Here is a 21,549-nt window from a genome sequence, read left to right as displayed (position 1 = left end):
GAGAAGCTCCTGGATTCAGCTCTAATTCTGCCATTTACTAACTGTGGAGTGCTGGGCGGATCAGTTCATCTCTTGGGGCCTCCGTTGATTAAATGAAGATGAGGCCATCCTATTTTTTTTTTTTTTTTTGTAGATGGAGTTTTGCTCTTGTCCCCCAAGCTGGAGTGCAATGGTGCGAACTTGGCTCACTGCAACCTCTGCCTCCTGGTTTCAAGCGAGTCTTCTGCCTCAGTCTCCCGAATAGCTTGTATTACAGGCTCCTGCCACCACGTCCAGCTAATTTTTGTATTTTCAGTAGAGCCGGGGTTTCACCATGTTGGCCAGGCAGGTCTCGAACTCCTGACCTCAAGTGATCTGCCTGTCTTGGCCTCCCAAAGTGCTGGGATTACAGGTGTGAGCCACCGCGCCTGGCCTTAGATGATGCCATCCTTGAGGGATGTGGGGAATCCACAAAACCTCATCAGTATGTGAAAGTCAATGATAACCTGCGGGGCAGGTATATGCGCACGTGCACTTGGTGAGAATTGGTTTATTAAATTGTCAGTCCCTTAGAATACTGAGCTGGTAAATAAATCTTATTCTTTGATAAAGAATTAAAGGAATAAGCTCATACGAATTCATGATTAGCCAGGCTTAGTGGTCCCCGTGTGTGCCTGTAGTCCCAAGCTACTCAGGAGGCTGAGGGGGAGGATCACTTGAGCCTAGGAAATCGAGGCTGCAGTGAGCTGTGATTGTGCCACTGCACTCCAGCCTGAGTGATAGAGCGAGACCCTGTTTCTAAACAAAGAGAGAAAAAAAAGAATTCCTGAAGGAAAACACCAGGAAGGAGTCAAAAGGAATCAATGTCATTAGGATCCCTGACTGTCTCTCCCTTACCCCACCCACCCAACTTCTCTTTCCTAGGGGTCTCCTGCTAAAGATGCCACTGTCCTCACCATACCAGATCCCTTAAGTCATGAAACTGGGAGTAAGTAAAACAAAAAAGAAAAGAGAAAGGGTATTCAGAAGCAGGGAAGAGGAGTTTGTAGAGGACAGAGGCTTATCCCCTGAGGACCAAGGCCATCTCCAGCAGTGCGGGGTGGGGGCCTGGGCTGATGGGAAGGGGATGTGACAGGTGTGGCTCCCACATCTCAGAGGGCTTGGCTGAGGCCCTGGCCCTGGGTTCAGGCCTGGGCGCTCTTGAGGGAGTGGAATGGCAGCGGGACCCGGCTGGTCTGCCTGCCCACCCAGAATGATGACCTCCGGATGTGTATTCCCTGTAGCTACCCGTCTCACCCAAAACATTATTGGGCTGAAGAGCCAGCTCCCCTGGGTCACCTCTGCTGAAGCCATACTCAGAGGGGACCTCTCACTCCTTGACCCACGGGGAGGGGGAGTGGGGAGTCCTTGAACTTTCTGCCCTAGGAATTCCCAGATGTTTCTGTGCCAAGCATTGCCCTAGGTACTGAAGACAGAGCTTGGGCAAAACGAGGACGTCTCTACGGCACTGAGGGTCCGTCTGTTGGCAGAGACAGACGACAGCATGTGTCATGTGTGTCACGTACGAGGGGAGCTGCTCAGTGCCACTACGAATAGTCAGGGTCGAGGGAAGAGAATGCTCGGACAGATCTCAGGGACCGAGGGAACTCAGGGAGTTATTTGAGGTCGGAGGTCAGGGAAGGCCCTCGGGGCGGGGCGGGGGTGGGGGGTGTCTCCACTGGGGTCTCCGTGCCCCTGACGCCTCCGTCCCTACTACCTGGGCTGGGTCTCACCGCAGGGTCGCCTCCCCGCCTAGCCACTCTCAGCTCATCGGCCTGGCTCCTCCCTCCGCGGCGGTTCTGATGCCGCCTGCCAGGGTCGCGCGCCTGAGCCGGGCCTGGGTCGCCAGCGCCCGCAGCAGAGGAGCCAGGGTGTCTCGCACCTTGACCCCGGGGGCGGGTGTCCCCAGGCGGCGCGTGACTCCGCCCCGGCCCGCCCCGCCTCGCCTGCACCGCAGACACACGCCCCAGTCCTCCAGTCCTCCGTGCGCGTCGGGCCCGAGCCCACAGAGTCCATGGAACCCACGGAGCCGATGGAACCTACGGAGCCCATGGAACCTACGGAGCCCATGGAACCTACGGAGCCCATGGAACCTACGGAGCCCATGGAACCGGCGCGGAGCGCGCACCGTGGGGGCGAGGCGCTGCTGCGGGAGCTGGAGGTGCTGGTGCAGGACGTGGTGAGGACGAGCTCCTGGTGGGAGCGCCACGGCGTGGACTGCGCCATCCTCGCGCTCAGCCTCTTCGCCTTGCCGGCAGGTGAGGAACGCGGGGACCCGGCGTCCCGGCCGGGCTGCGGGTGGGGGCGGGGTGCGGCGGAGGTGGCGGCGCGGGGTCTGCAACAGCAGCCGTGGGAGTGCAGCCTGCGGAGTGGACTGGCGGCGGCAGGGAGGCGGAGGTGGTCGGGGCCCCGCACCCAAGGATGGAGGGTCACACCCCGAACCTGAGAGTCTGGACTGGGGTGTTCTGCCCTGTGTACCCTAGGAGGGGGCGCAGGAGGGTGGTGGAAGGGAAAGTTGAGAGGAGCGGGGGAGTGGCCGGGAGTGATGAGGTGCCCCCCCACCCCCGGGAAGGGAGACGGTGTTCTTTGGGGACCTAGGTGAGTGGGGAGGGGGTGGGAGTTTCCCCTGGACCCTTCCTGGTCTGGAACACCCATGGTACCTGAGGCCCCAACATTGCTTTGGCTGGGGGCCCAGGACCACGCACTGGAGAGTCAGGACCAGGCACGGGAGAGTCAGGACCGCTGGAGGGGCAGTCCTGGTTCCCCTCAGGCCACAGTGGGACCTGCCTCACTCCGGCCAGTGGCAGCCCCCAGAGCCTAGCCCACTTTAGCCTGGGCTCCCAGGGTAAGGGTTGAGGTATTTGGGCCCAGATCACCCAGAGCTAGAGAAAGACCCGTCTTCTTCCTCCTCTCCACGCAGGCTTCCTGTGCCTGCGCTGGGAGAATGCCCTGGTCTTTGCATCCGGCATCACCATCTTGGGTGTGTGCCACTACACACTCACTGTCAAGGGCAGCCACCTGGCCACTCATGGGGCCCTCACCGAGTCCAAACGCTGGAGCAAGATCTGGCTGCTTTTCTTTGTGGAGGTGAGCCTGGGAGAAGGAGGATGCAGGCAGCTGCTGGGACCGTGTGGCAGCCTCATTCTTCTGTTCGAGCATGCGGGTGTGTCCAGCTGTGCATGTGCCCACGGGGGCAGGCCGCTGCAGCTGATGGTATGCCGGTCCACTGGTGCAGTATGCACTACAGCGTGTCTGAGGACTTCTCCAAGCCCTTGAGCGGGTCTTTGCACCCCATGGGTAGAGAGTTGTAGGATGAGTATGCCGCTGTCTTGGCCCACAGTTACAACCAGTGGGGCCTCCAGATTTTGCAGTCAGGGTTTAAAATGTGACCCACAGACAGAAAGGGAGGGGGAGGAGGGGCCCAGTGTCCACAAGGGGCAGCGTCCTTACTCCGGATGATGCTCCTCTGATGCCTGGCCATGGCCTAGCCTTCCTGAGAAGCCCCCTGCTCCCCGGGGTCAGCTCCAGGAAGTACCCACCTCACCTGACCCTTGCCCTCCCTTCTTCCACCCCTTCCCAGTTCGACCTTGGCCTTCTTACCTTCGGGCACGCCCAGGAAGGCAAAAGTTTCGACCAGCTTGTCTTTCTCTCTTGACTGGTCTCCAGGCCTCCCCAGTTCCTCTGCTGAACTTGCTCCCTCCTCCTTTCCAGGGGGACCGTCGCCTGGTCACCCAGGTGATGGTTCCCCTAAATAAATGAATGGCCACACCTTATGAATAAATAGGAAAGCTGGGACCAGAAACAGTTCTTTTCTGGAAGGACTGGTCGTTGTGACCAATTAACTCAATTATTAAGTTTTTATAAAGTTATATAACTTTATATAACTGTCTACACACACATATATCATCACTATCCACTCAGCTGAGTGGATGAAGCATTTCTCACCTAGCACTATCCCCTGCTTCTTCCCCTCCCCTGCCCCTCTCACCAGCACACACATCAAAGTGCTGAAGACAAGAGGAACTGACAGGCTTCTGATCCTCAGGGTCAATTTCAAGACAATTCCTTTCCCACGGAGCCCTGAGCATTAGTCCCGGCCAGACTCTAAGACACGGGCCAGGCTCTGGAGTCTGGGTCAGCTGCCCGCCAAGTTTGTAATCCACAGAGAGGCAAGGGAGACATTGGGCTGTGCTGGTGACATGGACTGTGTCATAATGCTGGGTCACAGGGGCAGAATGAGCTATGTTTGGATTTTTAAAAAAGCTGTACTGAGGCTGCGCGCGGTGGCTCACACCTGTAATCCCAGCACTTTGGGAGGCCGAGGCAGGTGGATCGCCTGAGGTCAGGAGTTTGAGACCAGCATGACCAACGTGGTGAAACCTGATCTCTACTAAAAGTACAAAAATTAGCCGGGCATGGTGGCACGCACCTGTAATCCCAGCTACTCAGGAGGCTGAGACAGATCAAGACTCTGTCTCAAAAAAAAAAAAAAAAAAATCAAAAAGAAAAAAGCTGTACTGAGTACCAGGAGCCTAGAGGCAGCTGAGGATGAGGAGCAGGTACTGAGGCTTTGGGACTGCTTGGCTGCAAGGCATTTATTGCACAGAGGTAACCTAGTGGTTCTCAAACTTCGGTGTGTAGCAGAATGATCTGGAGGCCCAGGCTTGCTGGAGAAGAGGACTCGGGCCACTGTGTTTTTACCAAGTTCCACAGGTGAATCTGATACCCACCAAAGTGTTACACCCACACCATAGCTATCATGTGTGCCAAATGAATGCAGGAGGCCAAGGACGCCTCCTCTGAGAAGCCTTCCTGGGCTTCTCTACTGGAGCGCTCCACCGGAAACCCAGCACGCTTGAGATACCCAGATAGCCTCAGTGCTGCATTCTGCTTGTGAATGCTGTCTTGTCCCCGTAAGCCCAGTGGCTTCATCTTTGCCTCTTTGACTCTTCAGCTCCTGGCACAGACTTGAGCTCTTGGCAATATTCTTCCATCAATATTTGCTGACGATGACCCTGCAGTTGTCTAGGGAACCAGGTTCAGGCCTGCAAGCCCCCTCGAAGCTGGGGAGGAAAGGCTTGGCTCCCGCTTCATGTCGTGACACCTGCCTGGTGGACTGCAGTGGGCTGAGGAACAGGGCCCGAGTAGTTTATTACTCAAGCCTCCGACTGACCTACGTGGGATGCGTCTTGATTTTTTCATCCCACAGGTGCCCTCCAGCTACCCTCTGGGGAGGGTCCAGTTCCAAGTGTGGGGGAAGGGGCAGACCAGTCTCCCCAGTCTGGCTGACATTGGTGAGGCAAGTGCACTGCTGGAGGAGGGTGCTGGTCTTGTCTGCCACACAGGGTGGCGGCGAGGACAGTGGGGCTCACGCCTGTAATCCCAGCACTTTGGGAGGCCGAGGTGGAAGGATCACTTGAAGTCAGGAGTTCAAGACCAGCCTTTGAAGCCATGGTTGAACTCCCAGCCCCACTGGCTGCCCTGACCTTGAGCAAGTTACTTAATTCAACATCTAAGTGTCACTTTCCTCACCTAATAAACAGGAGAAATAACACGACCTCCCTCATGAGGCCAGCATGTGGATAAAATGAAACAGTGCAGACCTTAATGGAGGGCCTGGTCCTGACACCCTCCACCAGTATGATCTTCACTTTCTTTCTCTGGAGTTAATGTGGTCAGCTGCAAGGAAAGGGTTAGCAGTTGTTTGCTTTGTCTTTTTTTTTTTTTTTTTTTTTTTTTGAGACTGAGTCTCACTCTGTTGCCCAGGCTTCAGTGCAATGATGCAGTCTCGGCTCACTGCAACCTTCACCTCCAGGGTTCAAGTGATTCTCCCGCCTCAGCCTCCCTAATAGCTGGGATTATAGGCACCCGCCACCATGTCCAGCTAATTTTTTTTTTTGTATTTTTGTAGAGACAGGGTTTCACCATGTTGGCCAGGCTGGTCTTGAACTCCTGAGCTCAGGTGAGCCACCCACCTCGGCCTCCCAAAGTGCTGGGATTACAGGCGTGAGCCACTGTACCCGGCCTTTTTTTTTTTTTGGTTTGTTTGTTTGTTTTGTTTTTGTTGTTTTTTTAACTGCAAGTTTGCAAAGCTCAACAGGGCTGTGTATATGTTGGGGCGTTGGGTGCTGTGTCATCTGGGCCTCTGCAGGGTGCAGAGGACACGTTCTTGATGCCTAGGACCTCAGAGGATGCCCCAAGACCCTTCCTGGATTTCTGACTCTCCTCCCATGTCTTGGTGCCTTCTCTCTTAGGATCCTTCCTTGTGGGATATCTGTGCTTTTCCCAAACCTTGACGCTCAGGAGACATCTTCATTGCAGAATAATGCAGCCATAGGCCCTGGGCTCCTTTTGGTGTTTGGCAAATGCTGCAGCCTCAGGCATTAACTGAGTATCATTGGCGGTCCCAGGTGCCCAGCTTTTGCTGGGATTGTCTCAGGGTTTACCAGCTCCAAGCTGGGCCATTGGATCTGGGGGAGGGGCAAACAGGTTGGAGGGGGAGGCTTCCACTCCAGGCTGTTGTTTCTCTCCTAAAGTATCCAACCTCCGAAGACCCATTTGTGTTCCACATAGGAAAGTTCTATCCCTCCTGGTAGCCTAACCCTGACCTTCTCTCCTGCCACTGATAACCTTGGTCTTACCCAGCGAGAGTACCTGCCCAGCCCTGTCCTGGGTCACCATGGGGACTGCCAGGCGTATTCTCAGGGACTGCCAATGAAGGGCACTGTACCATGCTCAGATGGCCACGGGAAGGTTGGGGGCAGTGTGGGATGGGCAGGCCCCCGTAATTTAAGCCCCGAAGCTTGGGAAAGATTAACTCCTGAAAGGACTCTCCTGCATGTCACTCACAATCCAAGATGCTCCCCTGAGTGGGAGGGAACAGGCCCTGCCAGTTCCGAAGCTCTGGTGTCTCCGCTTCAAATCCTCCATGTGAAGTCGGCTTTGTGCTGCAGGCTTGGAGCCACAGCTGCTGGACCGGAGCTCTGCCCTGGGGGAAGGGCACCTTGTAGGAGAATGTCATCGGCTTCCTTCAGGGCTCTTGTGGGGGTGGAAACAGGGCCAGGAACCCCCGCCTAAGTCGTGATCCTGGAACGTTCTCTCCTCACAGGCGTTCAGTGTGACCATTACCCTCCAGGCCGTCTCTCCAACCTTCTCTCTGCCTGTTCCCACGCAAACCTCGAGAGCTGTTGCCTAAGTTCAACTACAACTTCTTATTTTTTTAATTTTTAGTATTTATTTGGAGAGAAAACTCAGATTTGCAGTACAAAATATACTTTTGTAAAAGCTTTTTTATTTTTAAAATAATTATAGATTCACAGGCCTTGCAAAAATAGGACAGAGAGGTCTGGTGTAGCCTTCATCCAATTTCACGCAATAGTTACATTTATCTAAGTGTCATTCAATATCAAAACCAAGGAAACGGACATTGGTACTCTGCGCGCGCGCGCGCGCGCGTGTGTGTGTGTGTGTGTGTGTGTGTGTGGTGTCTCAGCTCCACCTACACCATGCTCCAGTAGATGCTGGGGACATAACTGTGAATAAGACCCCGTTCCACTTCCCCAGGGACTCAGAGTCAAGTGCAAAAAAGACACATACAAATGACATCAAAATAATAAAAAACCCTGGCTGGGCGCAGTGGCTCACGCCTGTAATCCCAGCACTTTGGGAGGCCGAGGAGGGTGGATCACGAGGTCAGGAGATAGAGACCATCCTGGCCAACATGGTGAAACCCCGTCTGTACTAAAATATGAAAAAAGGTAGCCGGGCGTGGTGGCACACGCCTGTAGTCCCAGCTACTCAGGAGGCTGAGGCAGGGGAATTGCTTGAACCCGGGAGGCGGAGGTTGTGGTGAGCTGAGATTGTGCCACTGCACTCCAGCCTGGTGAGAGAGCAAGACTCCATCTTAAAAATAATTAATAATAAATCCTGATCACACTAGCTAAGGCTTACTGGCTGCTTCCTGCATCCTTTTTGTAAATCACCTCATTTCAGAGTCGCACCTCCCTATGGGGGTTAAGCTACTGTTACCCTCACTTTGTAGATGAGAAAACACTGATCTGGGAGTTTAAGCCACTTGTGCAATGCCACGCCAGCTGGTAGGTGACTGGGGCAGGCAGAATGTGATGAGGGCATTGACCAGGGTGGAGTGAAAGCTCTGAGAGCTCAGGGTGGGAAGAGCAGGGCAGGGACATTGGACAGTGTCTGGAGATATTTTTGGCTATCAAGATGGGGGTGTGGGCCAGGCCCAGTGGTTCCCACCACCTTGGGAGGCCAAGGCAGGAGGATCGCTTGAGCCCAGGAGTTTGAGACCAGCCTGGGCAACACAGCGAGAGCCTGTCTCTACAAAACAAAACTAAAATTAGCTGGATGTGGCGGTGTGCACCTGTAGTCCAAGCTACTTGGGAGGCTGGATGCTGAGGCAGGAGGATTGCTTGAGCCTGGGAGTTCAAGCCTTCTGTGAGCCAAGATTTTATCACTATACTCCATATACTCCATACTCCAGCCTGGGCAACAGAGTAAAAGTCTGTCTCAAAAAAAAAAAAAAAAAAAGACTGGAGTGTGTGTGCGTGTGCATGCTACTGGCATCTAGTGTGTAGAGGCCAGGGACATTGCTAAATGTCGTACAGTGCACAGGACAGTCCCTGACACAAAAAGTGCCCGAGTCCCAAATGTGAATCATGCAGGGCTGAGAAACTCCAGGGACGGTTTCCAGGGGAGATGCTATCAGGACAGAGTTGGCCAAACTAAGGAGCAGGAAGGTGGCTTCAGACAGAACAAATGTATGGACAAAGGCTGTGGGAAGCAGTACAGTGCATGAGGGACCCTCAGGAATCAGGGGTCACCAGAATCCAATGGGGACCCTGGAGAGGGGAAAGGGGGCGTATGGCAGGCAGAGGACCTGGAACTTGGTCTTGTGGCCAAAGGTGGTAATCTAAGTTGGTAGTTTTCAAAACTAACTTATTTTTCAAATAGGTAATGTGTTTACATGATTCAGAATTCAAAAAGCATCGGGAGAGGTCTTTGTCCTACCCCTTTCTGCAGATGTCCCATTTCCTCCTGGAAGATGATGGCTGGAGGTTATCAGTCTCTTCTTCTATGTTCTTCTCTAATATTTTCCTCTTTTAGTTTTTTTTTTTTTTTTTTTTTTTTTAGACAGGATTTCACTGTATTGCCCAGGCTGGAGTGCAGTGGCACAATCTCGGCTCACTGCAGCCTCCACCTCGTGGGTTTCAGTGATTCTCTTACCTCAGCCTCCCAAGTAGCTGGGAGTACAGGCGTGCACCACCACGCTCTGCTAATTTTTGTATTTTTAGTAGGGGTTTCCCCATGTTGGCCAGGCTGGTCTTGAACTCTTTTTTTTTTTTTTTTTTGAGATGGAATCTCGCTCTGTTGCCCAGGCTGGAGTGCAGTGGCGGGATCTCCGCTCACTGCAAGCTCCACCTCCCAGGTTCATGACATTCTCCTGCCTCAGCCTCCCAAGTAGCTGGGACTACAGGCGCCCGCCACCACGCCCAGCTAATTTTTTGTATTTTTAGTAGAAACGGGGTTTCACTGTGTTAGCCAGGATGGTCTCGATCTCCTGATCTCGTGATCCGCCCGCCTCGGCCTCCCAAAGTGCTGAGATTACAGGCGTGAGCCACTGCGCCTGGCTGGTCTTGAACTCTTGACCTCAAGTGATCTGCCTGCCTTGGCCACCTAAAGTGCTGGGATTACAGGCATAAGCTACCACGCCTGGCCCCTCATTTAGTTTTTAAACAAACAGTACACTACAGGATTAAGACCATAATTATGAAATTATGATGCAGTTTTGGGTTTTAACTGTGTCACTCTACTGGATTTGAGGCAGACAAGGCAGAAGATGGGACGAAGGTGTTGGCATGGGCAGGCTGAGAGATGGTAAGGACAGACGGGCAGGGATGGGGTTCAAGGAGGAGGGTGTAGGTGGTGGTTGTCTGGGTGGTATCTGTGGGGAGAAGGAAGAGGTGCAGGAGTGGTGGGCAGCAGGAATGACCAGGATGAGAAAGAGGGATTGAGGGTCGTCAGAGGGGCAGCGTTGGTCTGGCAGGAGGGCTTCCGGGCTGGATCTGCGTAGCTTCCGTTCCTCTCTCCAGACTCTTGCTGGCTCCCACAGCATGAGCAGCCCCTTCACATCTGGCTTCAGAATGCTGGGGGCTTCTGGGGCTCCATGGACCTCAGTAGTAGGTTTTCTAGGTAAAATACAAAAAGTCCAGTGATATGATTTTGATGTTTGTCCCACCTAAATCTCAGGATGAAATGTAATATTTATTTATTTATTTTTTTTTTTTGTGGTTTTCTTAAAAAAATGCCTTTGAGTTGCAGATCAGGTGAGTTGGTTTTGGAAGTACTGGTAGTTCTGTTGGTGTGAGAGAGACTTGTCTACAGGCAGATAAACCCAAGTTTGCCAACAAAGGCAGTAACCCCAGTGGCCAGCTGCTGCTGCTACTGCACAGTGAGGAGGAGGTGGGGCCTGGTGGGAGGTGACTGGATCATGGAGGGGTTTCTCATGAATGGTTTGGCAGTATCCCCTTGGTGTTGTCTTGGTGAGAGTGACGGTGAGTTCTCAAAAGATCTGGTCATTTAGGCTGGGCGCAGTGGCTCACGCTGTATTCCCAGCATTTTGGGAGGCCGAGGCGGGTGGATAACTTGAGTTCAGGAGTTCGAGACCAGTCTGGCCAACGTGGCGAAACTCCGTCTCTACTAAAAATATAAAAAGTTAGCTGGGTGTGGTGGCGTGTGACTATAATCCCAGCTACTCAGGAGGCTGAGGCAGGAGAATCGCTTGAACCCGGGAGGTGGAGGTTGCAGTGAGCCGAGATCGCACCATTGCACTCCAGCCTGGGCAAGAGAGCAAGACTCGGAAAAAAAAAGAAAAAGGATCTGGTCATTGAAAAGTGTGTGGCACCCCTATCCCCGTCTCGCTGCTCCTGCTTTCATCATGTCACTGCCTGCTCCCTCTTCCCCTTCCCTGTGGACTTCTGCCACGGTTGTCACGATTGTGATCTGCCATGATTGCAAGCGTCCTGAGGCCTCCCTACCAAGCTTCCTGTGCAGCCTGCAGAACGCTGAGCCCGTGAAACCTCTATTCTTTACAAACTACCCAGCCTCAGGTATTTCTTTAGCAATGCAAGAATGGCCTAACACACATTGATGAATTTGAATTTCAGACAACCAATATTTTTGTATAAGTATATCCCAAATATTCCACGTATTTTTTGTTTATCTGAAATTCAGAATTAAGAGGGCATCCTGTATTTTCATTTGCTACACCTGTCAGTCTTGCTCAGGGAGCGTACAAGTCTCCAGGTGCAAGTCCTCAGGGAACTCTTCGGGCTGGCTCTGGGGCAGGATCTGTGTGAATGCAGCCATGTTTTAGACACCTTTGGGATGAGAGAGGGACCCTGGTGAGGGCCACAGCAAGAATAGTCCTCGAGAGCACCTTATCCTGATGGGAGTGGGTCCCGTACAGTCGGCAATGAGCCCATCAAATGGGGCTGATGGCATTCTCTTCCTTTTCCCAGGGACAAGGCCCTGGGAACCCCACAGGCCTAGCATGGTGCTGGGCACCACTGGGGGTCCGACAATGCTTATGTGAACAAACAACTGCATGAAAGAACAAATGGGGCTGGGCGCAGTGGCTCACACCTGTGTTCCTAGCACTTTGGGAGGCCGAGGTGGGTGGATCACATGAAGCCAGGAGTTCGAGACTAGCCTGGCCAACATGGTGAAACCCTGTCTCTACTAAAAATACAAAAATTAGCCAGGCATGGTGGTGGGCATCTGTAATCCCAGCTACTCGGGAGGCTGGGGCAGGAGAACCCAGGAGGCGGAGGTTGCAATGAACCAAGAACCCATGAGGCAGAGGTTCACCACTGCACTCAAGCCTGGGCAACAGAGCGAGACTCCATCTCAAAACAGAATAAAAATAAAATAAATAATCTTTTTCAGCAGGACCATCCATTTTCCAACTAACTCAGCAGCATGTGGTCATCCGCCACCGCCCTCAGGAAGTGTGCGAGTGAAGGGCGCTGAGCCTGGTGCAGTGAGCCCTCTGCGGGGGTGTTCCGCTGTCCTTTCCTGGCTTGCAGTGACTGGTATTGGGAAACTTTTCACGTCGTTCCAGAAACAGGCAGCATCTTCAATAAAATTAGCCACATCTTCTGTCCTAGATAAAATATCGGAAGAGGCTTACATCTGCATACCATTTGCATGTATCTGCTTAAGAAACACCTTAGCGTGGCTTTTGCATTCCAGACTGACTACTCTCCTAGGAGTCAGAGCGCACGTGCTGCTGCTCAGAGCGGCTTCCGAGAATCCCACTGGGGATCCATACTGCAGAAGAGTCACCTCTAGGGAGAAGCTCTTGGCCCCCACCAGGGCACCGCCCCCACCTTGTGGACTGGTCAGGGGATGGTGTCCCTGCTCTCTCAGACCACTCCTGTAGCCCCTCCTGGCTGCTGCTCCGGGCTGAGAGTGCTCAGTGTTATTAACGAGCAGATGCTTCTAAGAGAAACACACACAAAATCATTGCATTGGATGCCGGGGTCATCACCTGCAGTGCCTCCAATCACGACAGACTCTGAGACTCATTGCCTGGGCAGTCACTGGCAGATTGGCACTCCAGGGGTCCAGCCTCCCACCCCCAAATGCTTTGCAGAGCCTCGTCAAACGGACACGATTGTATTGACTGGCTGCCACTCCGTGGTCATAGATACCTGAGAGTTGATGGTCAAAGCGGATTAGCTGGGGCTGTAAGGCAGGACGGCCCTGGACATGCAGGGTTTGAGGAGGTGGGGGTGTTCTCCGGGCTCTCAAAGGTCCTGCATTGCTCAACTGTGCCTGACAGGGACCCCAGTGTCATTTCTGGTTCCCTCCTCTAGGTGTGCACAGCCTTCACTGCAGAGCACGCCACGCATGGGCACGTCAAGATGCACCATGCCTACACCAACGTGGTGGGCCTGGGGGACTCCAGCACGTGGAGGCTGCCTTGCCTCAACCGCTATGTCTACATGTTCCTTGCTCCTTTCCTCCTCCCCATCGCCACTCCACTGGTGGCTGTCGGTGAGTGCCATGAGAGCCCGGTCCGCAGTGTCCTGCATGGACCTAGTTCCCCTGCTCTCCTCCCCTGCGTGGCTTCATGGAGGCTGCTTATAGAGGAAGGCCCGATAGATACGTGCTGAGACAGCATGGCAAGGTAGAAAGAGCCTCAGACCTGGAGCTGAGTCTGGCTCTGCCGCTTACTAGCTGGGGACTATGGGCAGATAACTTAACTTGTCTGAGCCTCGGGTCCTGTACCTCCTCCTCAAGTATGGTGTGAAAGAAAATGAGGTCCTAAGTATAAAAATGTTTTGCAGGGTCTGCGTGTGGTGGCTGACACCTGTAATCCTAGCACTTTGGGAGGCTGAGGCAGGTGGATTGCTTGAGCTTAGGAGTTTGAGACCACCCTGGGCAACATGGTGAAACCCCATCTCCACTAAAATACAAAAAATTAGCTGGGCGTGGTGGTGGGCGCCTGTAGTCCCAGCTACCTGGCAGGCTGAGGCAGGAGAATCACTTGAACCCAGGAGGCGGAGGTTGCAGTGAGCCGAGATCTCACCATTGCACTCCAGCTTGGGCTACAGAGGAGCCTCTGTCTCAAAAAAAAAAAAAATGCTTTGCAGATGCCTTGCACAAATAATACTTCATGTTATCAGCTTTGATATCAGGAGAGCTATGTCATATGGTGGAGGGAGGCAGGGGTGATGGGGCAGCTAGACCTGGGTTCAAATCCCAGGGCTTGACCTTGGTCAGATTGCTTAATGTTTCTGTTTCTTTCTTTGTTTCTTTTTCTTTTCTTTTCTTTCTTTTTTTTTTTTTTTCAGAGTCTTGCTCTGTTGCCCAGGCTGGAGAGTGCAGTGGCACAATCTCAACTTACTGTAGGTGGCACACAACTGTAGTCCCAACTACTCAGGGGGCTGAAGTGGAAGGATCACCCGAGCTTGGGAGGCCAGGCTCCTCCTGAGTAGCTGGGACCACAGGTGTGCGCCACGACGCCCAGCAAATTTTGTGTATTTTTGATAGAGATGGGGTTTCACCATGTTTCCCAGGCTGGTCTCGAACTCCTAGGCTCAAGCGATCTGCTTGCCGTGGCCTCCCAAAGTGCTGGGTTTATAGGCTTGAGCCATCGAGCCTGGCCTCTGTTTCTTCATCCACACAATGGGGTGCCCTGCTTTTCAGGGCTGTTGTGGGTATGAATTGAACACGCCTGGCCTCCGCCACTGCTTTAGCACGCTTGAGCCAGCAGGGAGCCCCTCCTGATGGATCTGAGCCTTGCCTGTCCCCTCCCTCTATGGCAGAGCGGCTGAGGAAGGTGGAGCTCGGGACAGCCCTGCGGACGCTGGCCCTGATTTCTCTGGGCCTTTATTCTCACTACTGGCTGCTCCTGAACGTGTCAGGCTTCAAGAACCCCAGCTCAGCCCTGGGCTGCATGTTCCTCACCAGATCCCTGTTGGCCCACCCCTACCTCCACGTCAACATCTTCCAGGTGAGGCCACCCCAACCTGGGGCGCTGGGCAGCTAAGGGGAGCATTCTCCAGGGGCCCTGATCACAGGCTGGACTCTAGGTTGAGGAGAGAGGGGCCACCTGAAGGATGAGGCATCCTCCCTCTCGCTCTCATCACACTGTGCCCTCGCCTCGTCCTGGAGAGACCCTGCCTGCCCTCTCAGCAGTCAAGATCCTACTCATCATTCATGGTCAAGTTTGACAGGTAGTGTCAAGTGCTTCCTCTGCCAGGCACTATGCTAGGTCTAGGAAATCAGGGGTGAACAGGAGCTTCGGGTTGGTGCAGGACAGGACACAATTATGGGATTAAGTAATTAACAGCAGTTGTGGTAAGTGGTCCCCTCCCGACCACCCCCTGCTCTGAGGATCATTCGAGTTTTGGTTTCAGGGAAGAAGCAGGCTTCTCAGCTGGGTGCGGTGGTTCACTCCTGTAATCCCAACACTTTGGGAGACTGAGGTGGGTGGATCACCTGAGGTCAGGAGCCTGGCCAACATGGTAAAACCCTGTCTCTATTAAAAACACAAAAATTAGCTGGGCATAGTGGCGAGCACCAGTAATCCCAGCTACCTGGGAGGCTGAAGCGGGAGAATCGCTTGAACCCGGGAGGCAGAGGTTGCAGTGAGCCGAGATTGCGCCACTGAACTCCAGCCTGGGGGACACAGTGAGACTCCAGCTAAAAAAAAAGAAATAATAATAATAATAATGAAGTGAGCTTCTCCTCAACATAGTCAGCATGCCTTCCTCCATGCGCGGATGCCAAGCAGTAGGAGATAAAGGCCCCTAGTGCCTGCCCCGAGAAAGATGGAGGAACTGGAGACGGAATTCCTCACGGGAGGCCAGGGCTCAGCATTCAGCTCCAGCGTCATTTCCAGAGGGACGTCTCCCTGCTCCCTGCCCAGGGAAGGCCTCAGAGTAGAGCTTCCTGTACTTCCTTGTCCAGCACTTACCACAACTGCTGTTAACTACTTAATTACTTAATCCCATAATTGAGTTCTGTCCTGAAACCACCGAAGCTCCTGGTCATGTCTGAGTTCCTGACCTCTGAGTTCCTGAGCACCTGGCAGAGGAAGCACTTGACACTGCCTATTAAACTTGACCTTGAATGATGAGTAGGATCTTGACTGGTGAACAGAGCAGGAAGGGTCTCTCCAGAATGAGGCAAGGGCACGGTGTGATGAGACTGAGTGGTAGGCAGTTGAGAGCATTAGGGAACCATGGGACCTGAGAGGTGTGCAGGCTAAGCCCCTCACTGTTCAGATGGGGAGGGAGGCCCAGAGATGGATGAGAGTCAGTGCAGAAAACAGACAGGGTCATCATCGGAGCTGGGCCAGGAGCCCCTCTACCAGGTCCCCCCACATGGGAGGTGGGTGACACAAGAACCCTCTGGGTAGCATGAGGTCCCAGGACACCTGGAGTGGGGTGGGGAGGTCCAGGCTGCCCGGCGTGACCCACGTGTCTGTCACAGCACATCGGACTGCCCATGTTCTCCCGGGACAACAAGCCCCGTCGGATTCACATGATGAGCCTGGGGGTGCTTAACCTGGCCCGGCTGCCCGTGCTGGACTGGGCGTTCGGCCACTCGATCATCAGCTGCCATGTGGAACACCATCTATTCCCCAGGCTCTCTGATAACATGTGCCTGAAGGTAGTCGAGGGCTGGGCTGGGGGCGCTGGAATAAAGGGACTGTTAGAGGATGGAAAGGAAGATTCTTCGGCCTGGGGGCGTTGCTCACACTATAATCCTGGCACTTGCGGAGGCTGAGGTGGGCAGATTGCTTGAGCCCAGGAGTTTGAGAGCAGCCTGGGCAACATGGTGAAACCCCATCTCTACAAAAAATTCAAAAATTAGCGGGGTGTGGTGGCACATGCTTGTGGTCCCAGCTGCTTGGAAGCTGAGGTGAGGACCACCTGAGTCTGCAGAGGTTGAGGCTGCAATGAACCATAATCGTGCCACTGCACTCCAGCCTGGTGACAGAGTAAGACCCTGTCTCAAAAAAAAAAAAAAAAAAAGGTGGTGAGGGGAGGGAGGAAACTTCAGGGTTCACCTGAACTCCAAGTCCCCCAACTGGCCTGGTCAGAGGTCACCCAGGAAGGGCAGCCCAGTGTATCCACAGCAGCATGGGTTTTAGATCAGAGATACCCAGGTTTCTTACTAGCAGGGCGACTGGACAAGTGAACTGAATGCCTCTAGGCCTCAGCTTTCTCTTCTGTAAAATGGGAGTAGAAGGGCTTCTGTTGACAGGCTTTGAGGATGAAATGGAGAAATATATCTGAAATGTTTGGCACATGGTAGGTGCTTGGTAAAAGGGAGCTCTGGTTTTTATCCCCCTGTGCCAAGGAGGGCTGTCATGCAGTCAGGATCCCTGGATGTCGGAGAGAAGCCACTCCTTTCTTCTGCAGGGTTAGGGACAAGAATTCTCTGACTTAAGCCCTTCTGCTCCTCCGGAGAATCTTGGAACAAGGCCGATAGGAACTGGGGGTGGGAAGATGATGTCCCTCCCTCCCCTGACGGGATGATGGGCCTGCCCACAGCCCCTGCTCATAGGCCCTCTCCTGCCCATCTTCCACCAGGTGAAGCCCGTGGTGTCCCAGTTCCTACGTGAGAAGCAGCTACCGTACAACGAGGACTCATACCTGGCTCGCTTCCAGCTGTTTCTCCGTCGCTATGAGGAATTCATGGTGCAGGCCCCACCCATCACTGAGCTTGTGGGGCTGTAATGAGGCCGGGCCGGTGCAGCCACCCTGCCCCTCCCTGGCCTGGCCCTGGCCCTCCTGCTGCTGCTGGTCCAGGGGGTGTGGCTCAGTGGCTGGTGGTGGACCTGGAGAGTGGAGGCACCGGCCAGGCAGGGGGGCAGGGGAGCTCAGGCCTGGGGTCTGGGGGCCACCTGCCTTGCGTGCTTTTCTGGGTTTTGAGGGGTGTCTGGGTGAAGCGGTAATGGTGGCTGTGCATTCTGGTCAGTCTGGACCTCAGCAACTTCATCTCAGGACTAAAGAGCTGGGTCCTTCCCCCTGCTCCATCTGAGCCTTGGTAGGGTTAAAGGGAGGTGACAGGGTGAAGAGGGATCCTGTGCAGGGGCCACCTGGGAGATAGCAGGGGGCACAGAGAGAACAGGGTCAGCTCCCTCGGCTGGGACCTCCCTGGCATTGGGAGAGCCCCACACGGCCTTGGCTATTGCTTCCTTCAGGCTCTGCCCACCAAGGTGCCCTCTCCCCGGGGACCTTAGGGTGAGCTTGCTTTTGGCAGGCCTTCCTCGATCCTCAGCCAAAGGAACCTGTGCAAGACACTGGCTCAGCAGTTCCCCAGGCCACAGTATCAGCAAGATAAAAGTGAGTGTGTTTTGTCGGGAGGGAACTCCAGGGGAAGTGAGGGGAGAAGGTTCCCCAGGGACAGAGTTAGGGAAAGAGTATAAATAGCCAGCCAGGGGCGGTGGCTCATGCCTGTAATCCCAGCACTTTGGGAGGCCAAGGCGGGTGGATCGCGAGATCAGGAGCTCGAGACCACCCTGGCCAACATGGTGAAACCCCGTCTCTACTAAAAATACAAAAAATTAGCTGGATGTGGTGGCATACACTTGTAGTCCCAGCTACTTGGCAGGCTGAGGCAGAAGAATCACCTGAACCCGGGAGGTGGAGGTTGCAGTGAGCCAAGATTGCACCATTGCATTCCAGCCTGGGTGACAGAGCGAGACTCCATCTCAAAAAAATAAAAAAATAAAAAATAAGACTCCCGTTCAAAAAAAAAAAAAAGAATAAATAACTTTGAATGTGACCTTGGCTAGTTCAAACAGTTTGTTCTGTGATGTTTAGAAGTGAACCTGGGGATCATCTACTGGGAGAGAGAAGAATTTGTAGGAGGGGGCTGGGGCTGGAGGGGGTACTGGGAACAGGGTCCGGAGGACGGATGACCTCAGAGAGGAATGGGAGGAGGGTGGGGTGCAGATAGAAGAGCCTGAAGTCAGGGCTGGGCAGGGCTGTGGAAGGATGGTCTGCAGCCTGGGAGTGAGGTGGGAATATAAGGGAACTACCAATGCCAGGCAGAGGAAGAGACCAAGGTGCTGGGGGACACCACTGAGATTCAGCCCACAGTGGGTAGTATTGAGAGAGGGCTGGGAGCTGCCCCAGCTGGGGGCTGGACTGGGAGGGTGCTAGGAAGTGCCCAGGTGGAGGCTGAGGGAGAGACAGAGAAGGAGGCCAGACCCATTAGTTGAAAACAGGGTCTCTCACCTTGGCACTATTGACTTTTTTTTTTATGGAGATGGAGTCTCGCTCTGTCGCCCAGGCTGGAGTGCAGTGGCATGATCTCAGCTCACTGCAACTTCTGCCTCCCAGGTTCAAGCGATTCTCCTGCTTCAGCCTCCCGAGTAGCTGGGACTACAGGAGCCTGCCACCATGCCTGGCTAATTTTTTGTATTTTAGTAGAGACGGAGTTTCACCATGTTGCCCAAGCTGGTCTCGAACTCCTGAGCCCAGGCAATCCACCCACCTTGGCCTCCCAAAGTGCTAGGATTACAGGTGTGAGCCACCATGCCCAGTCACTACTGACATTTTATCTGGCCAATTCTGTGTTGTTGGGGGCTGTCCTGTGCATTGTTGGATGTTTAGCAGCGTCACTGGCTTCTACCTACTAGATGCTGGGAGCTCAAGTTGTGACAATCAAAAATGTCTCCAGACATTGCTGAGTTGACCCAGTTGAGAACATGCAAGTCATTCTCTGAGCGTGTAATTGCCTTGTTTTTCAGTGAAGGCCTTGGATAGAGTGAAAGGCCTCCTGACCCTGCTGATAGGGAGACAAACTGCCGGCAAATGGGAGCCTGGGGGATGGGCAGAGGGGTCTGGCTACAGGCACAGGCATTCCCTGAGCCTTGTTCCGTTGGAGAGCCCCTCTGTGGTGTGGCCTTAGGCAGCTGCACAGAGGCCACTGGTTCTTTTATGTGCACTCTCCATTCATCTCCACCACACCTTCCTTTACCAAAGACCGCAGTTCCTTTAGACACCCTTTTCCATAGCTACAGACTCTCACTAGTTCTGAAACAGCTCCCTCCAGGCTTGCGGTGGTAGTGGTTTCCAGCTGTTGCTAGCCTGGGGTGCTTCTCCATTCCCTTCACCCTGCTCACACCTCTGTATACAAACTCCTTCATTAAACTGTCCTCAATCACGCCTTTTGAGTGTGCCATCTGTTTCTTGCTAGAAGGTTGACTGATAGAGTGGAGTTTTGGATCCAGGCAGCCCTCTTGGCACGAGGCAGGCTTGGCGGCTCCCCAGCCCACTGCTTTGCTATATGTTATTGCTGCTCCTTGGAAATGCATTAGCAGCTTAGAAATGGCCTTGAGATCTAGGGGTGTAATTAATCAAACTGCTAATTCTCCATTTGAGAAACGCAGTGGCAGAAAAGGCCCCAGTTGCACAGTCCTGGCTCATGATTAAAACCATCCAAATACATAACCAATGACTCATTGTTATTGATCTGGACCTGACTGGGGTATGGGCAGCAGCTGAAGGCACTGGTGCCAGATCTGGCTGTACCATGGGTATCATGGGAACAAGTCACTCGATTGCTTTGAGGCTCCATTTTCTGTTTCACTTAGGATGTGGGCTGGGAATTTCTGAGGCCTGAGAGGTGAGGGAGGTGACAGGAGTGAATGAAGTATATCCAGATCTCTGCAGAGACTTAAGGTCTAATCTACAGAGACATATGGGAGGTCATAATACATATGGATGATGATAATAATAGCTAATGTTTATCTAGCATTTATGGAAGTTGTCTTGACCTCATCATCTGATTTTAATGTCTACAACAAATTGCCACTATTCATATTTCCCCCAAATGTTACAGACAGTGAAAAAAAGTCCTGGAGAGATTAAATTTCTCAATGTCATATAGCTAGTAAGTGGAGGAAGAGGGATTCAGACCCAATGTTGTCTGACTCTAGAATCCATCCTCCACCACCAGATATACTGCCTCTAGATGGGGAGCCCTACAGAACTTTTTCGATTGTACGAACTTCCATTATGTGCTAGCCAGTGTGTGAAGCCCTGGGGGTATAAGAGCTGAGACTGGGTCCCCATCCTCATGGAGCTTATAATGTAGTGCAGGGGTGGTCAAACTCTGTAAAGGACCAGATAGTAAATATCTGGGGCTTTGCGAACCATATGATCTCTGTTACAACTACTCAATTGTGCCATCAAAGCACAAATATAGCCATAGACAATATGTAAAGAAGTAAGCATGGATGTCTTCCAATAAAGTTTTATTCAAACTGAAGTCTGAATTTCATGTAATTTTTACGTGTCACAAAATGTTGTTTTTTACCATTAAAAATATAAAAACAAGCTGGGTGTGGTGGCTCACTCCTGTAATCCTGGCACTTTGGAAGGCCGAGGTGGGAGGATCGCTTTGAGTTCAGGAGTTCGAGACCAGCCTGGGTGACATGGCAAAACCCCATCTCCACAAAAAATGCAAAAATGAACCAGGCGTGGTGGCAGGCACCTGTGGTCCCAGCTACTCCGGAGGCTGAGGCCTGAGGCTCGCTTGAGCCAAGCCAGGAAGCAGAGGTTGCAGTGAGCACCACTGCACTCCAGCCTGGGTGACAGAGCAGGACCCTGTCTCAAAAAACAAAATCAAAACCAAAAACAAAAACCCCAAAACCTCCAAAAAAACAAAAACAGTAAAAGCCATTCTTGTTGGTCATCCAAAACATGCTGGTGGACAGTATTTGGCCTGCAAGCTATAGTTTGCCTACTCCTGGTCTAGTGGGACAGGCATAAAACACAGTGACCTATTAGAAAGCAGACAGCATTTACTTACCAGTGGGAGGGAGGGGAAGTGACCAGTAAGGGCACAGAGGACTCCTGGGATACTGGCCATGTTTTATTTCTTGATCTGGGTGGTGGTTATATGGTTACACCTTGTGATATATTGTCAAGTTGTACACTCATGATTTGTGCACTTTTCTGTATGTTATTATTGAAT

General features: G+C 53.0%; 1 protein-coding gene across 4 annotated transcripts, besides 6 other annotated features; it reads left to right on the top strand.

Moving 5' to 3' along the window:
• Positions 1 to 1,994: 1,994 nt before the first annotated feature.
• On the top strand, positions 1,995 to 20,841 carry FADS6 (fatty acid desaturase 6). Of its 4 annotated transcripts, XM_017024458.3 has the most exons (8): positions 1,995 to 2,041; positions 2,096 to 2,276; positions 2,939 to 3,105; positions 12,918 to 13,098; positions 14,373 to 14,560; positions 16,045 to 16,224; positions 17,151 to 17,258; positions 17,824 to 20,841. In XM_017024458.3, the coding sequence occupies exons 1-8, from the start codon at positions 2,033 to 2,035 to the stop codon at positions 17,902 to 17,904; spliced, it is 1,095 nt and encodes a 364-aa protein (XP_016879947.1). In that variant the 5' UTR covers positions 1,995 to 2,032; the 3' UTR covers positions 17,905 to 20,841. The 4 variants fall into 4 exon arrangements, with proteins under 4 accessions (XP_016879947.1, XP_005257281.2, XP_047291715.1 ...); XM_005257224.6 differs by having other exon boundaries at positions 1,995 to 2,276; XM_047435759.1 differs by lacking the exon at positions 2,939 to 3,105 and having other exon boundaries at positions 1,995 to 2,276.
• Positions 12,653 to 13,183: an enhancer, noted in NCBI's record as "H3K4me1 hESC enhancer chr17:72878575-72879105 (GRCh37/hg19 assembly coordinates)". NCBI's record gives its function as "activates a minimal SCP1, AML or CMV promoter by ChIP-STARR-seq in naive H9 embryonic stem cells {active_cell/tissue: H9 hESC(naive)}" and the evidence as "EXISTENCE:reporter gene assay evidence [ECO:0000049][PMID:30033119]".
• Positions 15,590 to 16,089: an enhancer, noted in NCBI's record as "H3K4me1 hESC enhancer chr17:72875669-72876168 (GRCh37/hg19 assembly coordinates)". NCBI's record gives its function as "activates a minimal SCP1, AML or CMV promoter by ChIP-STARR-seq in primed H9 embryonic stem cells {active_cell/tissue: H9 hESC(primed)}" and the evidence as "EXISTENCE:reporter gene assay evidence [ECO:0000049][PMID:30033119]".
• Positions 16,090 to 16,589: an enhancer, noted in NCBI's record as "H3K4me1 hESC enhancer chr17:72875167-72875668 (GRCh37/hg19 assembly coordinates)". NCBI's record gives its function as "activates a minimal SCP1, AML or CMV promoter by ChIP-STARR-seq in primed H9 embryonic stem cells {active_cell/tissue: H9 hESC(primed)}" and the evidence as "EXISTENCE:reporter gene assay evidence [ECO:0000049][PMID:30033119]".
• Positions 19,174 to 19,468: an enhancer, noted in NCBI's record as "tiled region #12632; K562 Activating DNase matched - State 5:Enh". NCBI's record gives its function as "activates a minimal TATA promoter and a strong SV40 promoter by Sharpr-MPRA in K562 cells {active_cell/tissue: K562}" and the evidence as "EXISTENCE:reporter gene assay evidence [ECO:0000049][PMID:27701403]".
• Positions 20,148 to 20,219: a transcriptional cis regulatory region, noted in NCBI's record as "candidate enhancer chr17.4853 targeted for multiplex CRISPR interference". NCBI's record gives its function as "positively regulates FDXR gene expression with high confidence in K562 cells {active_cell/tissue: K562}" and the evidence as "EXISTENCE:mutant phenotype evidence [ECO:0000015][PMID:30612741]".
• Positions 20,584 to 21,484: an enhancer, noted in NCBI's record as "H3K27ac-H3K4me1 hESC enhancer chr17:72870273-72871173 (GRCh37/hg19 assembly coordinates)". NCBI's record gives its function as "activates a minimal SCP1, AML or CMV promoter by ChIP-STARR-seq in naive H9 embryonic stem cells {active_cell/tissue: H9 hESC(naive)}" and the evidence as "EXISTENCE:reporter gene assay evidence [ECO:0000049][PMID:30033119]".

Source organism: Homo sapiens, chromosome 17 (assembly GCF_000001405.40).
Source record: "Homo sapiens chromosome 17, GRCh38.p14 Primary Assembly".
Classification (NCBI taxonomy): Eukaryota; Metazoa; Chordata; class Mammalia; order Primates; family Hominidae; genus Homo; species Homo sapiens.
This window is presented reverse-complemented; position numbering and strand designations above follow the sequence as displayed.